The sequence below is a fragment of the Homo sapiens genome, chromosome 17 (assembly GCF_000001405.40).
Source record: "Homo sapiens chromosome 17, GRCh38.p14 Primary Assembly".
Taxonomy (NCBI): domain Eukaryota; kingdom Metazoa; phylum Chordata; class Mammalia; order Primates; family Hominidae; genus Homo; species Homo sapiens.
The window spans coordinates 40,590,471-40,607,620 of record NC_000017.11 but is presented as its reverse complement, the minus strand read 5'-3'; the positions used below and the strand labels follow the sequence as shown (position 1 = coordinate 40,607,620).

The 17,150-nt window shown below is 44.3% G+C and overlaps 4 annotated features.

Moving 5' to 3' along the window:
• Positions 4,625–4,884: an enhancer, noted in NCBI's record as "active region_12159". NCBI's record gives its function as "activates an Ori minimal core promoter by ATAC-STARR-seq in GM12878 lymphoblastoid cells {active_cell/tissue: GM12878}" and the evidence as "EXISTENCE:reporter gene assay evidence [ECO:0000049][PMID:35858748]".
• Positions 8,223–8,522: an enhancer, noted in NCBI's record as "active region_12158". NCBI's record gives its function as "activates an Ori minimal core promoter by ATAC-STARR-seq in GM12878 lymphoblastoid cells {active_cell/tissue: GM12878}" and the evidence as "EXISTENCE:reporter gene assay evidence [ECO:0000049][PMID:35858748]".
• Positions 8,730–9,024: an enhancer, noted in NCBI's record as "tiled region #2180; HepG2 Activating DNase matched - State 4:PromP". NCBI's record gives its function as "activates a minimal TATA promoter and a strong SV40 promoter by Sharpr-MPRA in HepG2 cells {active_cell/tissue: HepG2}" and the evidence as "EXISTENCE:reporter gene assay evidence [ECO:0000049][PMID:27701403]".
• Positions 9,451–9,660: an enhancer, noted in NCBI's record as "active region_12157". NCBI's record gives its function as "activates an Ori minimal core promoter by ATAC-STARR-seq in GM12878 lymphoblastoid cells {active_cell/tissue: GM12878}" and the evidence as "EXISTENCE:reporter gene assay evidence [ECO:0000049][PMID:35858748]".

Sequence of the window (17,150 nt, the reverse complement as noted above, 5' to 3'; positions counted from 1 at the left end):
GATTCAAGACCTAAGCAGACATGAATCAATTACACTGCCATTACTTTAATGTTCTATCCAGGGCTTCGAGGGAAAAGCTCTGGTCCCAATTCTGCCACTATTTGCTAGGAGACTTTAGGCAAATCACAGCCCATCTTGTGGCTTCAACTTCCCTACCTGGAAATGGAGTCACTGAATATGTACTGCAGAATGACTTCTGTGGGCCAGCTTCAATCATTTACATCCAATTTCCATTCTCCCAGGCCCACCTCCCAGTTCCACACCATCAAAACCTCTAACCCTGACAATTAAAATTTTTTAAAGCAGCCTATGTCTTGAAGAAGGGGGTGGAAATAGCACTGATCGCCAGCTTACACCCCAAGCCATCCTTGGCCCCAGGGTAAAAGACCCAGCAAGGCCACAGCACACCCTCCTGGGCTGGATGAAGTTCTCGGAGGAGATGGTGTAAATGGATTAGCCACACGGGCTCCAGGAGAGCACCACCCCTCTGAATTCAGTGCCAGCGCTCTGTGGGCCTCTCCTAGCTTTGGCTCCTCTTCTTGAACACTCTCCTCCTAGAAAAGGTTCCTAAGAGGCCGGGGAAAACCTCTCATTGGCTTATTTCTTGTAAGACTCAAAGAGACAAGAGGGAGTCTTAAAGAATTGGCTCAACAAGATTTTCTCACTTAAGGCGGGAAACAGTGGCTCACGCCTAAAATCTTAGTGTCAGAGGTGTTCAAATCAGAGCAACTCCATTTTGAGTGAGGGCTAGGAAAATAAGGCTGAGACTTGCTGGGCTGCATTCCCAGAAAGTTAGGCATTCCTAGCCTCTAGATGTTTACGATTAAGGGAACAAACTAATAATGTTTACTAAAACAGACCCAGACTTGGGAGTGTCCAGATGTCCTGATATCTGGAGAACAAAGGCATTCCTAGTTTTACTTTAAAGATAATAATATCGACTCTTGCAAAATATAGTAATTAAGAAAATTAATCCTTTATCACAAACCCTTATAGCAGAGTACACCTCCTCATATAGACAAGCATTGTACCTAGGGTGGATGCGTTCCTCCTCTAACTTTTGGGAACATCCTACTCTGTCTATGCAGTAGCTGTCCTTTCGCCACTGTACTTTCTTAATAAACTTGCTTTTGCTTTGCACTGCGGACTCGCCCTGAATTTTTTCTTGCGTGAGATCCAAGAATCCTCTTTTGGGGTCTGGATCAGGACCCCTTTTCTGTAACACTAGCACTTTCAGAGGCCGAGGCAGATGGATTGCTTGGGCCCAGGAGTTTGAGACCAGCCTAGGCAATGTGGTGAAACCCCATCTCTACTACAAACACAAAAATTAGCCAGGTGTGCTGGTGCACACCTGTAGTCCCTGCTACTAGGGAGGCTGAGATGGGAAGATCACTTGAGCCTGGGAAATTGAGGCTGCAGTGACCCATGACTGTGACACTGTACTCCAGCCTGGCCAGCAGAGAGAGACCCTGTCTCAAAAAAGAAAAAAAAAACCTCTCTTAGGTACACAAGTTGAATAAATGGAAATATTTCCCTGACTGGGTCCGGTTGACCAATGCAAAGTTGCTTTACATTCTAGGGCACATTTAGCACCTTGGTACGAATTTGGTTTCTTTTCTTCATATTTTTTTGTAGTGATAGGAGAAAAACTACATGCAGAGGAAAATTCCTTCTATGGACTAAGCCCTTCACTTTCTTAACCTCAGTTTTCAAGGTTAGATGTCCAAGCAAAATTTTAAGAAACTTCTGCTACAATAAGATGATTCCCTTCTCTGAAAGGTAAGAAAGTGGGGGGGTCTCCTCCTTCCATGGGTTCCCCATTCTACAATCCCAGGGCTGCCTAATCATTACAGGGTCTCTCTTAATGCTCTCGAAGTTGGCATTCTACAACTCACCCAGCATCTCCAGGGGCTGGGGCTATATAAGAAAACCTCATCTTCCTGAGCAGCTACAGAACCCAAAAAGATGTGGTGAAAGACAGATTTCCCAGTAGCTGCACCCACAGGGTTCCGGGGCCTACAAGCTGAAACCTATAGCAGGTGAATCTCCTGTGTGAGAGCCAAGCCAAACACACTACCAACACTGCCATTCACCCCACGCACAAAGAAAATGCACCCAAGTCTCTGTCATGCACTCGTCTGACAAGGCGGTGACACATCTCTCTGCCCAGCACTGTATTCTTCACTGGGAGTTCAAAAATGAGAAGACAAAGTTCGTGTCTCTAGGAACTCAAGTTCTAGTGGGGGAACACAGAGGTCTCCGATCCTTCTCACCCTTCACCTCCACCCCAACCCTGTAACCCTGATATCAAAAGGTGAGACAAGCTGGGTTTCGTCAACTTGGAAAAACCATGGGGCTGGGCTGTTGGATACCATTTTAGCTAAGAACCCAGCAGAATCTGAGGAGTTTAGGATCTGCAGTCATCATGGTAGTTTCGGGCAACCTTCTATGAAGCACTATTTGGGGTTATGTGCCTAAGAAGGGACAAGCCTACAAAAGCCTGGACACACAGCCTGCTCCCCGCCAAGGAAATAAAATGATACAAACAGACAAAGATGTAGGCAGCAGAGACCCATGCTGGGACAGGCAGCCAACTGGGGAAAAGTGTGAGTCCAGGCCCCAGGCTCTGTGTACAGGCCTGGAGGTCTGGGCCCAGAAACCAGAGGTGGAAACTGTTACCACCTGTCTTTTTCTGGCTGTCGGGGTATGGAAGGTGAGTGAGGGGTAGACTAAACTCATACAAACCGCATCCTAGCCCAAACGACTTGGTGCTAAAAGGCTGAGTCTGATCGGGTCTGGTTGGGTCTAGTCAGGCATGCAGCTTAAATACCACCCATGCCCTAAGTGGACTAAAAGTCAGCACAGGCACCTGAGTTCAAGCTACAGCGCTGCACCTTGCTTGCTATGCCCCCTTCAAAAAACCTCTGCTTCTCTTTAAGCTTTAGCTTCCTCGTGTGTAAACTGGGGAACGTTCCCAGTGCTTACCTGTAGGGTTGTTTTGAGGATAAAATGAGACAACTAGTACAAAGCACTTGGACAGTGGTACACTGTTATTATCAGCCACGTAGATCCCTTCCAATCCTCTCAGCTAAAAATGACCTCTGCCCCATTTTGAACTCACATCACAGCCTGGCTCTGTCTCTTATTTACTGCCCTTGAAGGGAAGATCCCTATTTGATTCAATCCACAGCATCTCATTAGAATTCAAATGATGAGTGAGGATTTAAACAATTCTTGTGAGAGAGGGTGGGGGGAAAGAAAGAACTTAGAAACAATGATGTTATTGGCAGATTGGCAGAAATAGGCAACTACAGCCAGCTACCAAAACAAGAACAGTAGCAGACTGAGTAGATTGGAGCTTGGATCCAACTTGCAAGTTCAAGGGAAGGGGACATTCAACACAGACTTGCTGCTACTCAAGGTGTGGTCCATGGACATCGCCTGGGAGCTTGTTGGAAATGTGGAATCTCAGACTCTATGCTAGACTTTCTGAATTCCACTCGAATTTTTACAAGACTCCTGTGCACTCTAAATTTTGATAAGCATTAGGCAGACTAATGGTTCTTTTTTTGTTTTGTTTTGTTTTTTGAGACGGGGTCTCACTCTGTCACCCAGGCTGGAGTGCAGTGGCACGGTCTCCGCTCACTGCAACCTCTGCTTCCTGGGTTCAAGTGATTCTCGTGCACAGGCATATGCCACCAAACCCGGCTAATTTTAGTATTTTTAGTAGAGACAGGGTTTCACCATGTTGGCCAGGCTGGTCTCGAACTGACCTCAGATGATCCGCCCGCCTCAGCCTCCCAAAATGCTGGGATTACAGGCGTGAGCCACCACACCTGGCCTGGGATCATCTGAAGAGCTTTTAAAAATGCTGATGCCCAGGGTGTATCCCAGAACAACTGGCATCATGTTGATTTTTGTAGCTCACCAGGTGATTCCAATATTCAGCCAGGGTTGAAAGCCATTCATCTAGACCAACCCTCCAATTTGCAGGTCAAGAAACTAAAGTCCAAAGGGGTAAACTGACCTGCCCAAGGTCACACAGCAAGGGAGTGATAGTGCCTGGGACCTGAGCTCCAGTGCTCCACCCCCAGGGCTCTCTTCACTGGACTTCACTGCAAAATGGGGCAAGGTGGAGCGGAGCACCAGCGTTTCCCTTCTGGCTTGGCTTCTTCACTGTTGGGTCCTCAGCTCAGATCCCAAAGAAGGAGCTTCCTAGATGCAGGTGGCCTTACGCCTTTGAATTCCCAGGTGGACTATGGCCATAGAGGCCTCACGCTCTCAGGCAGTAGGTGCCAGAAGCCTGGGGCCAGGTGGGACTCTGCTTCCTGACCGGTGGCCAGTCTCTAGGCTGGAACAGCCTCACACTCTCACCCAGCCAGCATGGGCCTGCCATTCTCACCCGCCCCCCACCATCTTCCCAGAGAGACGGAGCCCTCAGGGACTGTCCCACCACAATTCTCAGAACTCAGGTGAAGTTTCTGACCCCCCACAGCCGCAGCTCCCGACTCCTCTGAGAACTGCTGGGACAGGCCTGTTCTCAATCAGCAACCGCGACTGTCTTGAAACCATCAGAGGCTCCCTCATGACTTGTTTTCGCTCTCTTGTCAGGGTTTTGGGGGTGTGTGTGTCTCAAACCTCTGATTGTCTCTGCTTTGTGACTTTTTCTGGTGTGTTTTTGAAGTGGCTTTTTGTTATTCTGCCTCCACTCGCTCATCTTTCTCGGCAGCCGTGGAAAACACTCTCGGCCTGTTCTGCTCTCCACCGAGCACTTGGATCCCTTGTAAACAGCTTGCCTGGTGGCCTGGACCAGGCTGAACAGATAGGAAGGGCCTGGGCCTGTCAAGCCTTTGAAAATAAACATGCTGCACTGAGCTTCACCATGCTCAGGGAGGAGGATGGGGTAGACACGAGAAAGCAGAAAGAACTTTCTAGGCACAAGATTACTCTCCTGACGGCCGAGTGAGGTCTTTTCCACCGCCCTAAAACAGGCAAGAACAGAGGCCTGCCCCTTCCCTGAGCCTCAGGCCTGCTAGAAGGAGGGCACCCACCTGCAAAAGCCTTTCCTGAAAAAAAAAGAAAAAAATTTTTTTGAAACAGAATCTCACTTGGTTGCCCAGGCTGAAGCGCAAGCGGCATGATCATGGTTCACTACGGCCCTGACCTCCCCAGCTCAAGCGATCCTCTCACCCTAGCCTACCAAGTAGCTGGGACTACAGGTGCGTGCCACCATGCCTGACTAATTTTTTTTTTTTTTTGTAGAGATAGGGGTCTCACCATGTTGCTCAGGCTGGTCTCAAATGCCTGTGCTCAAGCAACCCTCCTGCCTCAGCCTCCCAAAGTGATGGGACTGCAGGCATGAGCCACCATGCCCAGCCCTCTCCTGAAATGTGAGAGGTAGATCTTAACTTGCACTGCCCAATATAGTGCCACTAACCACACATGTGACTACTGAGTGCTTAAAATGTGGCTACTTTGCGAGCATGGTGGCGGGTGCCTGTAGTCCCAGCTACTTGGGAGGCTGAGGCAGGAGAATTGTTTGAACCCGGGAGACAGAGGTTGCAGTGAGCCAAGATCGCACCATTGCACTCCAGCCTGAGTGACAGAGTGACACTCTGTCTCAAGAAAAAAAAAAGAAAAAAAAGAAAGAAAAAAGTGGCTACTTTGACTAAGGAACTGAATTTTTTATTTAGTGTTGCATAATTTAAATAGCCACGTGTGGCTAGTGGCTACTGTTAGACAGCACAACTCAAAAGCAGGGTTCTCAAACTAGGCTGCATATTAGAATCACCTGGGAGCTTTAAACCACTCTGACGCCTGCAGCCATCCCTGGTGACTTTGATTTATTGCCACTGGGTATGGGCAGAGCCAGAGTTCTGAAAGCCCCACGTGTGATTCTCACGCACAGCCAGTTTTGCAAAACTCTGGCCCAAAGGACTTCCCACAGCTTTTCCACCTCTGACATCCTACACGTTGATCTGGTCTCTACAGTTTTCAGAATTTAAGGAGCAAGGAATTTACTTAGAGAATCAACTCAAGATGCTGGAAAATGTTTTTCTATGTTCTAAATGTAATGCATGTTCGTTGTAACACATGGGAGAAAATTGAGAAAACTCAGAGAAATGAACAGAAGAAAGTCAAAATCCCCTAAAATCCCACCACCTAGAGAAAAAGGGTTGAAACACTTAGACGTATATCCTTCAAGGCATTTTTCCATGGATAGAGCCTTATTTTCCTTCAAAATTGAAATCCTACTATGCTTCCTATTTTGTAATGTTTTTGTCACTTTACTTATTTGATTAACAAATATATCATCAATTGTAATGGCTACATGACATTCTATTGCATATAAACCACTATTTATCCAAATTCATATTAATATTGGCCCCATTTTTGCTATAATTTTTAAAAACATTGCTATGAAAAAATACAATGTCTTTATGAAAAGCCATTCACTAACTCCTTAGGAGAAAAGAAAAAAAAAAGAATTCAGTCAAAAGGCATAGAAAATTCTAAGACTTCTCCTAAATGTTTACCAAATGACTCTCCAGAAAAGTTGAACCAGTTCACATTCCCATCAACAGAGCATGAAAGCACCTATATTTATATGCATGTTGGCACTGGGGATTGAACTTTTCAAACTTAACAAGGTTCGAAAAAAAAATGTTTTCAACCACCAACAGGCAACCCTTCGTTTCAAAGTTCAGCACACCTTTAACGAGCACTGACTATGTGCCAGGTGTCACCTTAGGTGTTGGTGATAAAGATGAATGGAATGCATCCCTGCCCTCTAAGAACTCAAGAAAGGGGAGAATTAACAACTTGGCTTTAAGTCAAGGGAGGACAATATAGATGCTAAATAAAGGTACCAAAGTCACACTGGGAGCAGGAAAGAAAAGCCCACGATTCCTCACAGCAATGCTGGGAAGTCTGAAGGGGTGGCATTTGAGCTGGCTCTAGAAAGGTTGAGTCCAGGCGCTGGTGAGAGGTAGGAGGTGATGATATTTGGCAAACACCAAAAAATGCTGGAAGGCTCGGGGGATTGGAAAGTTATTGCTTCCACCCTCCAGTGGCTCCTATATTTATCAACCGTCTACGGTCAGGAAGCTTCTCCTTGAGTCTCTCCAACAGCCTCCTATTGCAGCTTAAACCCCTTCCTCTCGTTATCTATATAGTGGGAATGGGAGGCAGCTTGAATGCATTCTCCATAAATTCACCTCCAGAGACTTCTAGCCAAGGCAAACACCAAGCATGGTATGATATGTTTTCACTGATGAGTTGGTCCCTTTTGCATTATTTGCTCCTTCTATAAAAACAACATCGACTTGTAATGTCAATATGTCCATTTACCAGCCTGGGCAATATAATGAAACCCTGCCTCTACAAAAAATAAAAAAATTAGCCAGGTGTGGTGGCATGTGCTGGTAGTCCCAGCTACTTGGGAGGCTGAGGTGGGAGGATCAATTGAACATGGGAAGTCAGGGCTGCAGTGAGCTGTGCTCGTGCCACTGCACTCCAGCCTAGGTGACAAAGCAAGACCTTGTCTTAAAAAAATAGAGGTAGATAGATAATGTGTGTGTGTGTGTGTGTGTGTGTATAGTTTTTTGTTTTTTGTTTTTTTAAGTTGCAAAACTCAAGACCATAGGGCAAACATCAAGGTGACCTGAATTCCCCAGGCCGCTGGTCGTTAACCCAACTTTTCCCCCATTATTAGGATGGCCAATGCCAGCCCCATAGAGAGAAAGGGGCAGCCAGTTCAAATCCTGGCTCTTCTACTTAGGCCCTTGTGAATTCCCTTGGGTAAACTCACTTTTTCATCTCCCTGGGCCTATAAGACATGGATGGTATGAATAGTGAAAAGTTAGGTTTGGGGAGGTAAGGGAAGCCTTTTGTTAATAATAATAATAATCACCTGTGACTCCCATCCATGTGGGCTCACGTCAAGCGGGCCAGCCCCTTGCCTTCTCTTTTTGTGAGTCTCTGTGACCCACAAACACACACCCTTTCAACCGAGTCTGCCATGTATTTCAGGAATAACACATGTTCCGGAAGACGGCCTTTCTTGGGAAACTCACTGAAAAATGAATTAAGGGACTTGCCCAACTGTGTCTCGGGGCAGGAGGTAAGAAGGGCATGACAGCCACGGGACCTTTTCCACCCATTGACCGACACTCCCTCTTTCCCCAATTCTGCCCTACAACGTCAGAGACCGGATCAAATTTCCCTACTTGCTCTGTCTTCACCTCCCCTTTCTCCCCTGCTCTGTGACGCATGATGTCCCTGGAGAGTCCCCCACATCATCACAGAACAAAAACAAAAACAGCAGAGAAAAAATGCCAAACCTCGCTCCCCCTGCCCCCTCTACTATGAGTCGCCCACACGATGAGGGTGCTTGGTTTCAAATACTAGAAATGAGATGGCCTTTTTTTTCTTTTCACTTCTGCTATTTACACAGAAGTGCCTCGGTGCTAAACCCACCATAATTCAAGTTTATTTTTGGATTTCTCAGCTGTAGAAATCTACAGAATGCCAAAATGGGCTGAAGCAACTCTGTCAATAGGAGGAAGGAGAGGGTGGAAGGGAATGAATGTTGTCGAGAACCTGCTGCGGGCTGGGGCCTTACTGATGCGATTTCGTTTCCTCCTTACAAAGACTCTTAGAAGAAACCCTATTATCAATTATCTTTTGAAGATAGTGAAACCGAGATTCTATGTAGTTAAGCAACTTGGTCTAAGTTGAACAATTTGTAAGTGGTGGGACCTAGATTTAAAACCAGGACTGACTCAAAAGCCAAACTTCTTGGTCTCAGCCCTCACTCCCACCCACGTCCGCACCCACCCGCTCTCTTGCTTCCACAGCGAATTATCACGTGCCTTCTGTACCCATGTGTTTGCACTCTCTCTGCCCCAGCCCCCTCCTGTACTTTGCCCTTTTCTGCTTTGGAACAAAAACAGGGCCAACCAGAGAAGGTTCGGGAAATTTATGGTTTGGTTTCGTTTCTCCCCAAAGCATAGTACATGTCTGATTTCAACCCATTTAAGTAACTGACTTCGGGCCCTCTGGGAATCCTGTCGGGGAGGAGAGCCAAGGTGGACAGAACTCTAATGGCAGCATGGAAGACGGCCAGACTTGAAGCCACGCAGATCTGCGCTGGAATCCCAGCTTGGGCACTTAAGGCTCTTAAATGCTGCTAGGCCTCCATTTCTTCATCTATACATTGGCAATGACATACCTATCTGGCAAGTAGCTGGGAGACCCAAATGAGATGATGTGAGGGAAACAGCCCAGGTCAGATTCCAGCACATAGCAGACATCCAAGAAATGTCTCCCTCTTTTCCTCTCCCACATCCTCAGGAAAGGGGTTCAGGGCTGCCACCAGGGAGCCTGGCCTGCAGAGAGCTTTGGTAACTCTCTGAGGAAGCACAGTTAGATTCATTTCGGCCTGTCTCAAATATTTGCAGGGCCCAGGCAAGAGTACAAACAGAGGCCTACGCACTACCTGCCCAGATAGTTACATTATAAATAGAGCTAACAGACTTATAAAATAGGTTCCATTTCATAATGAAACTATACATTTTCATAACGACCTAAAGGGTCATGTTTAAATTTAGAATTCTCAGACTCCTTCGAGAACTCTCAGACTCTCCCCTCAGCTCCCCTTCTCTACTCCCCAGCCTGGATACCTAAGCGTCATCTACAGCCACCATAAACAGCCAGGACGTGGTCATCAACAGAGTCTAGGGGTGCATACCAAGCTGTGCAGTCTACCCTGTGGAGGATTTTCCCTGGGAAGAGGCCCATGCAAGCCTGAAAGTGGCTGAGGACTCTTTGGGCCGGGAATACTGGGTCCTGAGACCTGGAGTGTGACATAGAAGGGGGGACATGGACCAGTCCTTCACCTGACAAGGGTACCGTCTGAGGAAGGCCAGAGAAAGACCTCTAAGGTGTGGGTTCCTCCACCTGAATCTGAGGGCAGGCTGCATTTGTTCAGGTGCTATTTACCTATCACTCTAAACAGGAATTCATGCAGTGAGCCGGAGCCACAATAGTGAGCTCATCCATCTTCCTGAGTTAAGCCCTAAATCTGACATTGAAAAGAAATTATACTTTTGATCATTTCAATTTGTTTTCAATAATCTTTATCTTTCTTCACCCCCAGGACAGGAGCCAAGGAGGGGGAGATTCCAACATGCATACATTGGTATTTACACACAGACTCTCTTCTGCTCCATTTTTGTTCTTTGCTTAGAAAGTCTTTGTTCCAAAAACTACAGACAGAAACCAGTTCAGTGGTTGTGAGGAGCTGAGGGTAGAGGAAGGGGTTGGCTACAAAGACACGTGAGGGAACAGTGGTGTGTGATGAAACTATTATATACCGTATGTTGTTGGTGGTAGTACATAATTGTATGAATTTATTTTTTAAAAAATTCTAGACCTGTACGCTAGAATGGGTAATTTTTACTGCGTGTAAAATTATACCTCAAAAAACTATGTAATAAAAACTCTTTGCTCTAAACCATATTTTAAGAAAGGAGCAGGATTTTAAAAGGGGAATGTGTTCGGACATCTAACTTCACTTCCTATGGTGTGACATTCAGGGTGAGTCAGTGTAATGGACACCTGTCACATTCATGATGGCGGCTCATCATCTTACGGACAGCTTTTCTTTCTGGAGGAAATTCCTTTATTATTGTCCTGCCTCCCGAAATAGAAGTCAAGAACTCAAACTCCCGGTATCCCCTGCAGTTAGGACACAGGCATGTGACCTACCCTCCACCAATCAGAAGCACTCATGTAGGCATTGATTCATGTGACCTACCCTCCAGCAGTCAGAAGCAGTCATGTAGGTGCCGATTCATGTGACCTACTCTCCACCAATCAGAAGCAGTCATGTAGGAATTGATTCATGTGACCTACCCTCCACCAATCAGAAGCACTCAGGTAACTGCTAATTCACAAATGAGTACTGTATTGACACGAGGGCTGCATGAGGCTTCTATTTTGCTGGTGTGCAGACAACAGAGGCATTTAACTTTGGGGCTTTTAAAAGAAAAACCTTAGGCAAATTAAATTTAACAGAATTTAGTGGAGCAAAAACCAATGTGTGAGTCAGGTATTCGCCTGAGCCACAGTAGGCTCAGAGAGACACTAGCACAGCCACTTGGTGGGAGATTTACAGACAGAAAAAGGAAGTGAGGTACAGAAACGGCTGGATTGGTTATAGTTGGCATTTGCCTTATTTAAACACGCTTTGAACAGTTGACTGCCCTTGACTGGCTGAAATTCAATGAGTGGCACAATAGTAGGTTACAGTCTGTTTACACATCCAGTTAGGTTGCAGTTTACAGTGTAGGAGAAACCTTTAGACAGAACTTAGAATATGTAAGGAAGCAGCTTTAAGCTAAACTTAATTTGATAATTCCCCCCTTTTGGTCATCCTCTTAATTTTGAGAGATAGACCAAAACTTTAGGCACTGATGTCACTCTGTCACCATGATAAAGGTACCTATTTGGTCCTAAATCCCATTGGGAAATAGCAGAACAGTGGGTTTGTGAGGTGGAAACAAGGACTTCAGGTTATTTTTTTTTTAAGGATTAGAGTAGCAGGGACCTCTTTGTACTGCAGTCTCCTGTTTTTAAGAGAAAAGCAAAACTTTTGGTCTGTTTTCTTAAAGTTTCAGATCGATCATGTCACATTTGAGTGACTCTGTTTTGGTTTGGTCTGGTCTGCTGGGGTCTAATGCACAATCTCAGTCCAAAACAATTGCCTCCTATAATTTTGTTTAAAATTTTCCCCCTTCTGGTCAGGTTCTCACTTAGGTGAGAGTGTGACCAAAACTTAGGCCATGAGCTCCACTCTCGCTTACCATCATTTTGGGTTTTCAGTCTCAGCACATAGTTCATAGGTTACGGTGTCCTTATGGCCACACAATTCTTTGAGTTATTGTCATTCCAATCTAGGAGAGACCATCTGACATTCTGGAGATGGCTACGTACAAACATTTAGAACTTTTGAGAGAATACAGCACACCAGGGAGATTACAATTATGACTATCAGAAGGATAACACCAGGAGTTTGGAGTATGCTCTGTATCCAGGTTCCGCATGAACCAAACCAACTAAAATCAAATAGATCAAACAATAAACTCGATAAAGAGTTTACTCATTTCAACCAAGCAGCCTGTCCATTAATCCCCTACAACTGAGTCTCTATAATACCCTATGTATTCCTCCGTGTGTAATTAGATGTGTCAGCAACTGCAGACACTACTTTGTTTAGCCAGTAAGTAAACCAGAGCAATTCTATTAGTTAGTGCAACTTTAGCAAGAGAATTTAAAATCTGTTGTGTAACCAGAGTCTCTGTAGTAGAATCTGTTATCTAGCCTATTATGAGGGATAAATTTTTAATCATTGCCTCATTTACTCTAAACCAAGAAAAAAAGATCTAATAAATGATGCCTATCTAGAAGAGTGAAGGCCTCTTGGCAATGTTTTAACCTATGACATAGGTTAAGAGGAGTGGACCAGTGTTCTGTTTCTGAGTGATTATGAAGCAACAAAGATACCAATAAAATTTTTCATCCACATTGGCCCTTTATCCTTCATCTGTCAAGACGTAAGGGTGTCCATATAAAAGGTTTGCTTCGAAATCCTCCACTAATAAAAGTATACTCCATGAGTGTACAAAAGAGACCTTATTTTCAGTTCTATTTTTCATAGAGGCCTGTATTAGTCCATTCTCGCACCGCTATAAAGAAATACCTGAGACTGGGTAATTTATAAAGAAAAGGGGTTTAACTGGCTCACAGTTCTGCAAGCTGTACAGAAAGCATAATGCTGGCCTCCGATGGGCTTCTGGGGAGGCCTCAGGAAATTTACAATCATGGCAGAAGGCAAAGGGGCAGCAGGCCACATCTTACATCATCAGAGCAGGAGCAAGAGAGAGAGAGTGGGGAGGTGCCACACACTTTTGTTTAAACCAGATCTCATGAGAACTCACTTTTGCAATGACACCACCAAGGGGTTTCTTACGTTAACCTAAGAAACCACCCCCACCATCCAATCACCTCCCACCAGGCCCCACCTCCAAATTTGGGATTATAATTAGACATGAGATTTGGGTGGAGACACAGATCCAAACCATATCAAGGCAAAAGCAAGGAAAAACTGAGAGATACAAGTCTCACGGTAGCAGAGAAGTCTTGATCCATGATCTTGGGAAAAAGTTGTTCATATCTGGGATGCCATCTGTTTCTGGGGAGAAACTTCCTTGGTTATCTCTATCTTTAGGTCTCCAGTGGCTGTACAATTAAGAGTCTGGAGGTGCCCTTCTGAGTTATGAGATACGAACAAGGTTCAAGTTCCCAAAGTTTTCTGCAGTGTGGGTAACAAGGGCAATCTTTTTCTGATGTTGTTCTCAGAAGACCCAGTCTCTGGGTTTTAGATCATGAAGGGTTTGATTAGTCAGTGAACCATGAAACGCTTTCTTTACCGGTGAAAATACACCATGGCACAACGCACTAAAGACTTGCAGCATTTAGTCGTATCAGAGTTTAGTAGCAGAAGATATATGAGCTTCCATTATTTAGTGCATAGGCATTTCAGTGACTATTTCATAAGGGATCAGCTTATGTTTTCCACTGGAAGTGGGTCTGATTGTCATCAATCTCTAATACCTTTGACCAAAGCAATCAAGTCAGTTCAGTTAGCTTTGCCTAATGCTGTCATATATGTAATACCGTATTTAACTATATTACAACTTGTCCAGTGAAACAAGTATCTCTATCACTGGAGATTTCTCTGGGAATGTCCCACGAGGAAAACACATTTCCTAATAACCTTTTAGCTATTGTTGTAATATTAGCCCTCTTGTATGGGAAAGCTTTTATAGAACCAGAAAGCATGTATCAAAAATGACAATTGAATTAAATCCCTCTATAAATGTTGTGTTGTTTTGTTTTGTTTAGACAGAGTCTTGCTCTGTCACCCAGGCTGGAGTGCAGTGGTATGATCTCGGCTCACTGCAGCCTCTGCCTCCCAGTTCAAGTGATTCTCCTGCCTCAGCCTCCTGAGTAGCTGGGTTTACAGGCACACATCACACGCCTGGCTAATTTTTGTATTTTTAGTAGAGACTGGGTTTCACCATGTTGGCCAGGCTGGTCTCGAAATCTTGACTTTGAGTGATCGCCCTCCTTGGGCTCCCAAAGTGCTGGGATTACAAGCATGAGCCACTGAGCCCAGCCAAATCCCCCTATAAGTGTTTAAATGGCCCATCAGATAACAGAAATGTACCTGAAGTTTTTATTGTCTTCCAAGAATTATGGGTTTGACAAATCAAATATTGATCATAAACTATTTTAGCAATTCATAACAGTCACCACACCAATATATATATATTTTTAATTTGGATCATTTTATCTGTTTTATGATAAGTCTTGAAATTCAGAGCTTCTAATAATGGGAACTTGAAGGACTCAGGAAGGACCAGGAAGCCTTCCAGGTTCTCCATGAGTCTATGCTTATACTGGACTTACATCTTAAATACCAATTTTGTTTCTCCAATTTAGGTGCATAGCACTGTTTATTAGATGGTTTTCATGGGTAATTTGACTTGGACCAGGGAGTTCATTTAAATTATATATCTAAATAATTTTAGTGCTAGCTGATTTTAGCATGAAAATCTGTCAAAGTATTTTTTTGGTTGTCAATTAATTCTTGCCCTACTTGGGTTAGCAGTTTTATAAATCAGTCAGTCCTTTTATTAGAGTTCTGGGAATTCTTAGCCAGTCCAAATGATAGGATCCTAAACCTGTATTCAAGAGTGCTTGTCAGAGTCCTTTCCATCATTGTATGAACCTCTTTGAAGACACATTACTCTAGGATTTTGCTTGCTTGTGAAGAGTTTTCAGAAACTGCATCTAAATGCAGGAATTAACTGTGGAAATGATTTAAAATGGTCATAAAGATACAATTGACAAGGACATTTGGTTATTTTTGTGGCCTAAAATTATGTAACATAACCATAGTTATAATTGATAGCATATATCCAGACATATCAGAATTTTAGGAATCCCATACAATTTTGGAACATATATTAATAAAATATTTATAAAAATACAACTTGAAGAAGATTAAACATTATTTCTTATTTGACAGTGCTTCCTGTAATTTAATATATCACGTAATCTTACTTATCTCTCTTTTGGATGCTGCAGGAGCCCTCTGTAGCATTCCAAATGTACAGGTAAACAACAAAAAAAAACAAACCACTTAATTTTGAAGTTGAAATTTGATTTTCAGGAAGCCTGTCAAGTATGTCAAAAGATTCAGACAATTGACCAAAATAGGATCACAGGTCACCATAAAAAAAAATCATTCATTTAGCCAAAGTGATAAGAGATTTTTAAAAGCAAAAACCTTTACTCTTTGATAAGAGAGGAGACTCAATCTTTTTTTTTTTTTTTTGAGACGGGGTTTCACTCTTGTTACCCACCCAGGCTGGAGTGCAATGGCGTGATCTCAGCTCACTGCAACCTCCGCCTCTCAGGTTCAAGTGATTATCCTGCCTCAACCTCCCAAGTAGCTGGGATTACAGGCATATGCCACCATGCCTGGCTAATTTTTGTGTTTTTAGTAGAGACGGGATTTCACTATGTCGGCCAAGCTGGTCTCGAACTCCTGACCTCAAGTGATCCACCCACTTCGGCCTCCCAAAGTGCTGGGATTACAGGCATGAGCCACCGCGCCCGGCCTTGGATCCTACTTCTGACAGCATCTGTTAAAAGAGAAACTGGCCGGGCGCAGTGGCTCAAAGTGTAATCCCAACACTTTGGGGGGCCGAGGCGGGTGGATCACCTGAGGTCAGGAGTTCGAGACCAGCCTGGCCAACATGGTGAAAGCCCATCTCTACTAAAAATACAAAAATTAGCCAGGCATGGTGGCATATGCCTGTAATCCCAGCTACTTGGGATGCTGAGGCAGGAGAATCACTTGAACCCGGGAGGCGGAGGCTGCAGTGAGCTGAGGTCGTGCCATTGCACTCCAGCCTGGGCAACAAGAGTGAAACTCCATCTAAAAAAAAAAGAAGAAGAAGAAAGAAAAACCTTAGACAAATTAAATTTAACAGTTTGAGCAATGAACGGTTTGCAAATCAGGAAGCCTCTTGAGCCAGAGTAGGCTCAGAGAGACTCTAGCATGGCCATGGGGTAGAAGAAGGTTTATGGACAGAAAATGGAAAGTGACCTACAGAAAATGGAAGTGAGGCATAGAAACAGCAGGATTGTTTATCTTAGCATTGCCTTATTTGAACATAGTCTGTACAGTTGGCAACCTTGGTTGGCCAAAACTCAGTGACTTGCACAGGAGTAGGTTACAGTCTGTTCACACATCCAGTTAAGTTGTAGTTCACTATGTATGGAGAAACCTTTAGGCTGGACTTAGAATATGTAAGAAGGCAGATTTAGGCTAAGCTTAATTTAACAGGGCTTTCAGTGGTTGTGAAGTTGCATTCCTGCTTATCAACTAGTGTGGTATGGGGGAAAGAGGATGGATGGGGGAGTTCCATTCCTGGTTTGCTGCAACTAGCTATGAGCGTCCTTTGGGGAAGTTCTTAACTTCTCTGAGTCTCCATTTTCTTATCTGTAGAATGGACATCACAGCTGCTTAACTTGCAGGGTTGTTGTGAGATTAAATGAGGTGATTCAGGGTCTGGTATACAGTAGGTGCTGAATAAGTATTAGCTCCAGTTAATCCTCAAACAGTATGTAAGAGCGTTGACATTGGTGGCCTGCCTATCACTCTGGGAGCTCCCTGAATCCTGGGCTGTGGTGCCTTGCGCAGCCTGAGAACTTCCCCACAGCAAGGACCTCATGAGCATTACATGAAAGCTAAGACTGATACTGAAATTTGAGGATCCCCTTGATCAACCTAGCCAATGATTTTTCCCTACCTAAGCACACAAGGGAAAAAGAAATAAAGAAGGTAGAATATAAAAATCCTTGCAAATTTCCAAAAGCTGAAATTTACACCCCTTGCAATATTTCCATTTACTATCAGTTTCTGTCTAACCCAGGCAGACATAAAAGGCCTCTAACTGGATCTAAACCAATTAATTATCAGATCCAACTCAACTCAAAGAGTGGCCACTATT